General features: G+C 48.2%; 1 long non-coding RNA gene across 1 annotated transcript; it reads left to right on the forward strand.

Moving 5' to 3' along the window:
- The first annotated feature begins 5,030 nt into the window (after positions 1-5,030).
- FLJ20712 (uncharacterized) lies at positions 5,031-7,654 on the forward strand. Its single transcript, NR_165282.1, has 2 exons — positions 5,031-5,159; positions 6,578-7,654. It is a non-coding gene; the product is annotated as an uncharacterized FLJ20712 (long non-coding RNA).
- The last annotated feature ends 2,640 nt before the right edge of the window (positions 7,655-10,294 follow it).

The raw sequence follows: 10,294 nt of genomic DNA on the forward strand, positions 1-10,294 counted from the left end.
TTAGTATGGAAAGATCTCAGGAACATTTTATAAGCTAGTAAAACATGCTTGAGGGGTGATAGATTCTTTAGAATTTATCTGCATGGCTGACGTCACCCTCTCAGCACAGGGAGCCAAACTGTCTCGATGTCTGTGGCCCGTTTCTGAAATTATTTCCCAGTAGTTAATCCCAAGTGACCCTTAAGCCCACTTCCCTGTCAGAAAGTGTTGGTTTGCAATGAGAAGTGGCCCTTTCTGGGCCAATGAGGCTCCTCCTTCCAGCTGAAATAGAAGGGAAATTGATGGCTTCTCTGGCTGAGGACTTCTCCCCTGCAGACCCATGTCTGGACTGCCCAAGCTTCCTAGTTTAAGTCTCTTTGTCTCAGCTAGTTGTAGTGACTGCCACCCTCACTAGCTGTACCCCTGCACAGGGGGCTGGCATGATTTTTGGCTCCCTGCTTACAGGACTGGAATGTGGTTTCCTTCAGCAGTAGACAGGGAAGCAGCTTGATGTCTCTAGAAGCTTGTTTAGTCTCCAGCTTTGTGGTAGTTGACGATGTCACATCATCTTTTCTAAGTTTTAGTTACTGCAAAATGGTGTTTATTTTTATTTGGGGATTTGGAGGGAAAAGAGAGGGCAAGGAAGAGGGAAACCAATGAATATTTACTGAGCACTTACTATACACCAGGCACTGTGCTTAAACATTTTAATGTACATGATCACTTAGTTCTTAAAACAACTCTCTAAGCTAGGACATTACAAATCTCATGTTATGGATCTGGAAACTAAGGTTTGGAGAGAGAAAAATAAAATGAAGAGTTATGCCATGCAATAGACTGAATGTGTATGTCCCTACAAAATGCATATGTTGAAACCCTAACCCCAAAACTGATAGTATTAGGAGGTGCAGTCTTTGGGAGGTGATTAGGTCATGAGGAAGAAGCCTTCATGATTGGGCTTTATAAAGGGAACGATCTTACCCCTTCTACGGTGGGAGGACAAAGCAGACAGGTGCCTTCTATGAATCAGAAAAGAGGCCCTTATCAGACATGGAACTGGCCAGTGCTTTGGCCTTGAACTTCCCAGCTTCCAGAACTATGAGAAATAAGTTTCTGTTGTTTATAAGCCACCCAGCTTATGGTATGTTGTTACAGCAGCCTGAATGAGCTAAGGCATATGGCTTTGCTTGGATAGGGGGTTGGCTTCTCAATAGAGGTGGTGTCATGTTGTGCTGGGAAGATCGGGACAATGATTCCAATGGCACAGTACCAGGGACCCACTGAGATCCTACTTGACAGGTCCAGTCCTATCAAGAGGCCAACGTGAGGCAACCTAAAAGCATGATGGGGTTTTCTAGGCAAACCACTCTCCCACTTAACCCCGTTGCCCCAAACATTGCCATTCCTCGCCTCTGTGACAGGGTGACTCTTCAGAGACCAGCGGCTGTCAGAAGCCGCTATAGATCCCCGGTGCTGGGAGCCAGCAGTGTTCCCAGATCTTTATGTTGTCCAGACCAGCCTCAGCAACCAGGCCCCGCTCTCCAGCTGCCCAAGCCCTGGGGGTGACTCATCTGGCTCCTGACACTGTGCATCAGCATGCCCTTCTGCCTGCTGCTGCCCCAGTGTGACCACAGCTGCCTCAGGGGATGGCGGAGGCTGGCTCCTGACCCAGGCTGCTGGCAGGGAGTGTCCTGGAGGCTGCGCGCTCAGCCGGCACGTCCCCCTCATTCCGCCAGCCCTGCCCACCTTCCTCGCCTGCAGCTCAATCCCCATGACTAAGGGTGTGGAAGAGGATTCCTTTTTCCACAAGCCCATGACTGAGCTGGGACAGGAGGGATCTGCAGTCCCCCTTCACTCAGAGACAGCAAAGATTTTTATCCCCCAGAGACAAGAATCCCCTGGCTGTGAAGTGGTAAGCCTGGGGAGCGGCTGCCGCCACCTGTCCTCAGGGAAGGTCTGCCACTCTCCGACCTGCTGTTGACCTGAACTCCAGGGACAGCCACTCCCCTGCCATTTGCTCCTGCAGAGAGTGGGACGGATGACGTCATGGCATTTTTGGAGTGCTGAAGTGAAGTTTTGACAAATTCCAAGGGACATCAAAGTGCTGAACAACAGCCAATACATCATAGCCTGTCACCAGGGCCCCCACCCCTGATTATCACATTAAATCAGCCGGTGGGCACATTTCAGCTGAAACTCAACAGACGCCTACTGGAACTCACAGTTTCTCCTTCCAGAGTTCAACAAATATGGCAATGGTTACATTTTAAAATCTGTGTTTTCTATTCTACATTCAGTCTCTCTCACACACACACACACACACACACACACACACACACACACACACACCATGTTACTAACTAAAAAACAGAAGCATGCTGCTAGAGAATACCTGATAACTGGGATTATGACATGCAGTAGAATAGAATGCTGATTTGGATTCTAATCCTAGCTCTGCCACTTAATAGCTCGATATCTTTAGCAAGTTAGTTAACACCTCTGAGCCTCAATTTTCTGAGGGTAAAATAAGCATAATAACGTTTCTATTTCCAAAATTGTGAGCATTGGTTGGGAGAGCAGTTCAACCTTAGTTCTTGCCTGGTAACTGTGGACAATGTTTTCTAGTCATAAAGTTTTGTATTTATTTCTTGATGTGTTTATTGTATGTTCCTTTTTGAACATAAGAAAGATAAGACATTATTTTCTCCTCCAGGTTTGCCGAGAAGTGCTTGTGGGTGAGCTGAGGGTAGGGCATCTGTGGCTCAGTTTTCAGGCTATGGAGGAAATATCTGCTGGGCTGCTATTTCCCTGCATAAGTTCTCATTGCGGGAGGGAGCAGAAGGTAATTTCAGAAAGAGCTTGTGCTGATCTTTCGAACTGTTTCTCCCAAATTCTGGAGTATCCAAAGAAAGCAGGGTTATCTGCCAGAATGTATCAGAAAGATAGCAGGCATGTGAATTCTACATTAACTATAGGGCATAAGAAATTTCATGTTTCTTTTATTACTTTAAGCTAAATTTGATATGCCACTGTAGCCATCCTGCCAGGATGGTAGGAAATTCAGTTGCAGACTTTCCTGAAATGCCCCTTCCTCTCAGTTCCTGTGGCCACTCGCCCAGATCGTTTGGATAGAGTCCTCTGGTCTTCGGTCCACAGGGGTGACTACTGATGTGCTCATCTGCTAAGTCCTCATGCTCCTGGGAGGCTGGTGGCTCCACCATTCCTTGGCAGAGCTTTGCCATTGCTACGATTTCTCCCTGAGGCCCTGTCACCTCCCGAGGGTTGCCAGAGAAGGAGAGCCTCCACACCTGGGATCACAGCTCCCTTCCCTTCCAGTCCCGGGGAGACACTAGAATCCTTTGAAGGTTCCCTTTTCTATCAGGACTGTCTCCTTCTCCACCTTTTGGAGAAGATGAAGGGTAATCTCCCTTGAGAGAGCCTGTGGAGACACAATGATGGCCTCTGTTCTTTAGGAATGGGGAAAAGATAAGTTATCTAGGTTAACTGGGATTAACTAATTCTGTTACTGAGCTGGGTGACAAGATGGGATTGGGGAATTTGTTTGGGGACTCAGTGAGGACATGCAGGAGACAGATTCAAAGAATCACATGTGAAATGGACAGGGCTCTGATCCCTCTAAAATATCTGTTGCTTTCCTTCTTCCACTTCGACCCCTATCCCCCATAATTCTTCTGTCTTTTTTTGGAGACAGAATCTTGTTCTGTCACCAGCCTGGAGTGCAGTGGAGCGATCTTGGCTCACTGCAACCTCTGTCTCCTGGGTTCAAGAGATTCTCCTGCCTCAGCCTCCCGAATAGCTGGGACTACAGGTGTGTGCCACCACGCCCAGCTAATTTTTGTATTTTTAGTAGAGACGGGGTTTCACCAGGTTGGCCAGGATGGTCTCGATCTGTGGACCTCGTGATCTGCCTGCCTCAGCCTCCCAAAGTGCTGGGATTACAGGCGTGAGCCACTGCTCCCAGCCAATTCTTCTATCTTTAAAAGGTAACCCAGGTTGGGAGGGAAGGCTGGGAGCACAGCAGAAGACAGAACTGCTTTGTTGAGCCCCAGAACCGGCAGCGGATACTCCCTGCCAATCACATGGCACTCACCTCTTTGTGTAAATTTAGAAGGTGCTTGCCCAGGAACAATCTGGCTTGACTGTCACAGCCATCCTGCAAGGTAAGTGGGGCAGTCGTTAACCCCATTTTCCAGATAAGGAAGCTGAGGCTCACATTGATTAAAAGACTTGCCCAAAGTAACCAAGCTGTTGAGGGGCAAAGCAGCAGGACATAGCATCCAGGTCTCTTGACTTTTGCTTCAAGAGCCCACAGCCACACTCGGTGCTTAGATGAGGCTTTGGCTTATCAGTGATTTGTGATGTTTGCCTTTTGCCAAAGAGGGGGATGGCTGAAGAGCTAGTGCCCTGACATTCTGGACTCTTGCCAGTAGATTTTGTCTGACTCTTGCTCTGATGCTATTCTTTGTTATTTTCAGGAAGGGGAGCTAGATGTAGAATACATTTCTTTTTCTTGGTAACGTGAACAGCAAGAAGCAAGTAGAGTACATTTCTTATGAGAGAATATGCTCGGGACTTTGATTCATATCTGGTGGGTCCCAAAAGACCAGGGTACTGCAGATTTAAGACCATGTTGCAAATTCGGCATGCATTCAATAGGACTACCTTAGTGAGGGGAGTAATTTTATAAAATTATCAATTCAGTCTCAAAGAATAATAGCAGGAAATGTATTTCTGACTATTTAGAAGTGACTCATTGTGGGACTGTTTGAAAACTATATTATTTTTATCAGTAAATAGAATTGCCTATAGTCAATGTTATCTCTTCACATCCAGGGATTCTAAGATCCGGTTACCCATTTCCCTCAAAACAGCAGATAGCAAAGCCAGGGAAATGAAAACCCACCAAACCTTCTGCAAGGCTGACACCACCCCTAAACCCCACTGCAAACTGATAACACCACACCCTCCTCTGCAAAATAACAGAGGGGCAGATAAGATGAAAATTTTCATTCCAATTAGCAATCATTTCCAGTCAGTGAAACGGCAGAATCAGAAGAGGTTCCACAACCAGAAAATCTTGGCTGGAATTTCACCATCAGGAATAAAACAGAAAAACTAAAAGAGTGCCCCAGATAGCCTTTCTTAGGGGCCTGTGTCAGGTAAGTGCTTTTGAATATTTAAAACAAAGGATGGCTAAGAGTTCTGCAGTCATTTTCCAGTTAAATATCAGATGGTATAAAATATTTTTATAGAAAGTACAGGCCAGGTGCGATGGCTCACACCTGTAATCCCCACACTTTGGGAGACCGAGGTGGGCAGATCACTTGAGGCCAGGTGTTCAAGACCAGTCTGGCTAACATGGCGAAACCCCGTCTCTACTGAAAATACAAAAATTAGCCTGGCGTGGTGATGCACACCAATAATCCCAGCTAGGTCAGGAGGCTGAGGCATGAGAATCGCTTGAACCCGGGAGGTGGAGGTTGCAGTGAGATGAGATCGAACCACTGCACCTCCAGCCTGGGCGACATAGTGACACTGTATCTCAAAAAGAAAAAGAATTCATAATCCACTTTTCATTAGCTGGTATTTGGCCTTACCAAGGTGAAGCATGAAAATGAAATTCTATCTGTATCAGCCAGATTTTCTCAGACACATGTATTCACTGCATGACGGACCCTGGTTTCCAAATTGTTAAGCATACCAGACTCTAGTGAATGCCCTTCCGAAAGGGCCATCATGCAGCAGGCCTTCCCATCGGAGAGCCATGGTCCCAGCCAAGGCAGCTTTCAGGGGTTGCTCCACCACTCTAGGGAGGCGGCCCAGATCTGTCTCTCCCAAACAGTGTCTGGGTTTGACACTTCCTGAGAAAGCAGAGATTGTTCCCTTTGTATGCCATGGCTCTGGAATGCAGCTCTTCCTGTAAGGAAGACAATGGTCTTTATGGGAAGGCTAGGACTTGAAGGAGGTAAGATTTGAACGGCAGAGCTGGGTGCTAGCTTTCCTGCTGAGGGAAATGGTGGGCACAGAACCCCCGCGGTGGGCAAGCTGGGGTGTGGGTGTGCCTGTGGGCTGGCAGGTGACTCTGCCCGGAGCATCGCAGGGGTGGGGAAGAGATCAAGGAGGTAAGAAAGGTAGTCTAGGGGGAGGGGCCCAGAGTTTTGAACACCAGACTTAGGAATCTGGGACATACGTACTGGCCTTTGCCATTCAAAGTGTGGTCCTGGGACCAACAGCATCCTTGGACTTGAAAGCTTGTTAGACACGCAGAAGCCCGGGCTCACCCCAGGCCTGCTGAATCACAACCTGCATTTTAACAAGACCCCCAGGAAATTTCTATCCTCCTTCAAGCACTGCTCTAGGCTAAGAGGAAGCAAGAACAATTTTTAGAGCTGGGGATAAAGTGATGGGAGGAGTGTTTGGGAATGAGGCCACTAGAGTGCTTAGAGAACACTCACTTGGGAGCCCCACAACAATGCAGGCGTGAGTGAAGGAGGGGGGTGGGGGGCTGCGAGGGAGACAGGTTTTCCCCACAAGCCACAAGGCCCGAGGCACGCCTCCTGCCCTGCCTCCACCTCAGGTCGCAGGAATCTTGTTGGTGATCCATCCAGATGTTGTGTGTTCTGGAAGTGGACATCGCGGCTCTGTGTTTTTGAAGTCAGATCTCATTGCTGTGGTTTCTATGCCTGACCCCCCGAAGTTCTTGCTCCTGTTGCCACAGGGAGCCGGGAGAGCACAGAGCGCTGCTCCCGGTGCCCTGCAGCCACACAAACATGCTCCTGCTCCTGGCGGAGGCAGAGCTGCTGGGAAAGACATTTCGGAAGTTTCCTGTGGCTGCAACAAATTGTTCAAATCTGCACTGGAGCACCGCTGTGACCTGTCTTTCTCCATCTTAGGGCAAACAGCTCCTGAAACTGGAAACTCCCCAGCACCTCCTCACCCTACCCCTCAGGCTCTCCTTGTGGGGGTGGGGCAGGGGGAGTTGTCTGGAATGCCTGGCCTCTCTGTCCAAGCATGGCAGCCTTGCCCCATGGGTGGTGCAGACTCAGTTTCCCATGCACCTTGCCCCAGGGAGGAGGTAGGGGTTCCTTCCATAGAGATGGTGAAGAATAAGGGAGGTAGTGATCGTCTCTGGGATCCAGTTAGATCTGCGTTTGCAGGCAGAAAGAGGCTGGGGCACATGGAGAGAGTGATCAACTGGAAGATTCTAGGGTCCTCAATTTTGAAAGGTGACATGATACCCTGGAAAGGGCATGAACTTAGTTGTCAGTTCGTCCTTGCCTTTTCCAATCAATGCTGTGTGGCCACGGCAAATTAATGAACATCTCTGAGTTTCGGTCTCCTGTCTAAAATGAGGTGATAATAGCTTCTTGAAGGTTGTAAGGCCCCAAACATGCTGCCTGGCACATAGATGGCTAATCAATATTTTCCTACCCTTCCCTTCCTTCCCTTCTCTGGAGTTGCTACCTGTCTTCTCCTGGGGCCTTGCAAATAAACTTCTGAATTAAATAGTTCCTGCCTGGTAATTTGTATCAACTGAGGGAAGACAAGTCTGGAATATTACTTTTTTTTTTTTTTTTCAGACGGAGTCTCGCTGTCGCCCATTTTGAGATTGAGGGCTACACTTAAAAATAAATGTAACCATTGGCTGAAACCAGACCGCTTTCTGGAAGGGAGTCTTTTGGGGCTTCCTTCAATGAACAGACAGGAGTGTAATTAGTTATTTGATAGCAAATGGGTTCTCTCAGGACATAAATACAATTTAAAGCAGTTTGTTCTAGTGTCTACAGTTTCAACATTGCCCGTTGCATTCATGTTTCTACTCTTAACTTGCCAAGTAAACCCATAGTTTGTTAGTTCCAACACTAATCTCTGATCAGTCCCATTTATTCTAAATTTGTTTTCACATAATGGCTTCCACAACTCAAGGTATTTTCTATTCTTTGCTCTCTGGAGACTGAGAGGTTATCAGTTGTGGAAAGCCTTCCAGGAAGTTTTCCTCTAATGTAGTCCTGGGGAATACAGAAGCCGCCTCGAATGAATGGTCGGACTCACCTTTTCCCAGGACCATAAAAATATATATTTTTGTTTCCTACCCTAAACACAGTGTAACTCACTCCTTGTTTTTCCTGGGAGATTGTGGTAACACGGAGAGGCCTGGGGGGTCTCTGGGATAAAGCAGCTTGTAAAACGACTATGGGGGGATTCCAGATCTGACTTAATCAACATTTCTCAAGATCCGTAGACCAATAAAACTGTTTGCTTTCTTACCACAGTTCCACCGGCTGATTTATTTCTCTTACTTGGCTGAAGCTGTCACTGCTCAAAGCAGTTCATTTGTCAGGTCGAGAGAATTACAATTCACAGGACCTCTTGCTAGTGCTATCTCAGTTTATAAATTTCACGAATCACAATTTATTGCGGTGCACCCCACAGAGTCTCCTATTAATAAATTGTGGCTCATCAGCAAAAGCACGTGTCTATGGCTCCCTTGGATATAGGCTTAGGGTCCTGGAGCGGCCGCACAAGCTGCATGTGGCCAACACACAAACGTAGCTGGGCCGGCTCCCGCAGCCTCTGTCTGAGTCTCCCTCTACTTGCAATGACTCTCTGCGTGGCCTGGTTTCTTGTTTTCACCTCTGCAGGGATGCCATGTAAAGGAGGCCAGACACCACCTGTGTATGTTTGTGTTGTGGTGGGGAGGGCCGGGCCATAGGAAGAACTTAATTCCTTCCAAAATCTACAGATTTTCCTCTAATAGATTTCATCAACCTGTGGGCACAAACAGAATTGCATTAATAATGCAAACCTTTTGTTCACTGACTCTTTTCCTTCCCAGCCACCAGCACTTCAGCTAGAGCTTTCTGGAAGTCCTTGGGGTTTTTCACATGCTCTCGGAAGTGAGGCCAGTAGTGTCTTGCCCAAGTAGTCAGGTCGGCTCCTCCAAGGCATTTTCCATTTCCTTCCTTCCCCCTGTGCTGGCCTCTTCTGCTGGGTGTGTGCAGTTCCCATGGGGCTTGCTATGTCTTCCACTCTCTCTGTCTGCTACTGACACCTAAGTCCCGACTAGGGGCTGCACTTTGTTCCCCCAAATCCATAAGTGAAATCCTAGCCCTCAGTACCTCAGAGTGTGACTGTATTTGCAGAGATGGCCTTTAACATGTAATTAAGTTAAAAGGAGGTTGTTAGGCTGGGCCTTAATCCCATATAACTGATGTTCTTATAAGGAGAGGAAATTTGGGCCCAGACACACACAAAGGGAAAGATCATATGAAGACACAGGGAGAAGACGCTCACCTGCTAGCCAGGGACAGGGGCCTCAGAAGGAACCAACCCTACCTTGGAAGAAGTTGACACCCTGATCTCAGACGTCCAGCCTTCAGAATGGTGAGAAAATATATTTCTGTTGTGGAAGTCACACAGTCTGGTACTTTGTCATGGTCATCCCAGGAAATGATTACAATCCACTACCAAGAAATGTCTGGCACCTTCATGACGACCAAGCTGGATGTCAAGTCAGGGATGACAGCTTGCAGCTTCTGCTGATGTTTGCCCTCGGAGAGGAGCCCCCAAACCCTGCTGTTTGTGCCGATGTCATTCAGTGTTTGTGGAGTAGCCCAGGGGTCTCCAACCCCGGGACCATGTATCGGTACCAGTCTGTGGTCTGTGGCCTGTTAGGAACAGCAGGAAGTGAGTGGCGGGTGAGCGAGCCTTACTGCCTGAGCTCCGTCTCCTCCAGATCAGCTCACCTGCCCCATTAGATTCTCATAGGAGTGCGAATCCTACTGTGAACTGTGCATGTGAGGGATCTAGGGTGCATGCTCCTTATGAGAGTCTAATGTCTAATGATCTGAGGTGGAACAGTTTCATCCAGAAACCATTGCCCCCTTCCCCCCTAGTCTGGAAAAATTGTTGCCTTCCCTCCCTGCATGTGCCCTGTGCCCTAGTATCTCTGGAGTCATTTTCCCAGAAGCTATCATGACTTTTAGTTAGAGTGAGAGGCTGGGGTCACTCAGGGCACCCGGGAATCACAGTGATCCTATGTAGTGGGAGCTGGATCCGTGGAGGAGATGGACACTGACTGAAGATTCCACTCCAGGCTGAGAGAGGAGAGAGGAAGTTCCCTGGCTGCTCTCTTCCTCCCACCCTCAGACTCTTGTCAGTGTCTCCTTGGCTGAGCCCTGCTGGGATCTGGGGCAGCTGGGGAAACACAGCCTTCAGGGGTCAGCCCCTGCCATAGACAGCAGAGCAGGAAATGGTTGAGGAGTGGCTCTCGGGGCAAACAGGCCCAGGACTA

Source organism: Homo sapiens, chromosome 7, assembly GCF_000001405.40.
Source record: "Homo sapiens chromosome 7, GRCh38.p14 Primary Assembly".
In the NCBI taxonomy this organism is placed as follows: Eukaryota; Metazoa; Chordata; class Mammalia; order Primates; family Hominidae; genus Homo; species Homo sapiens.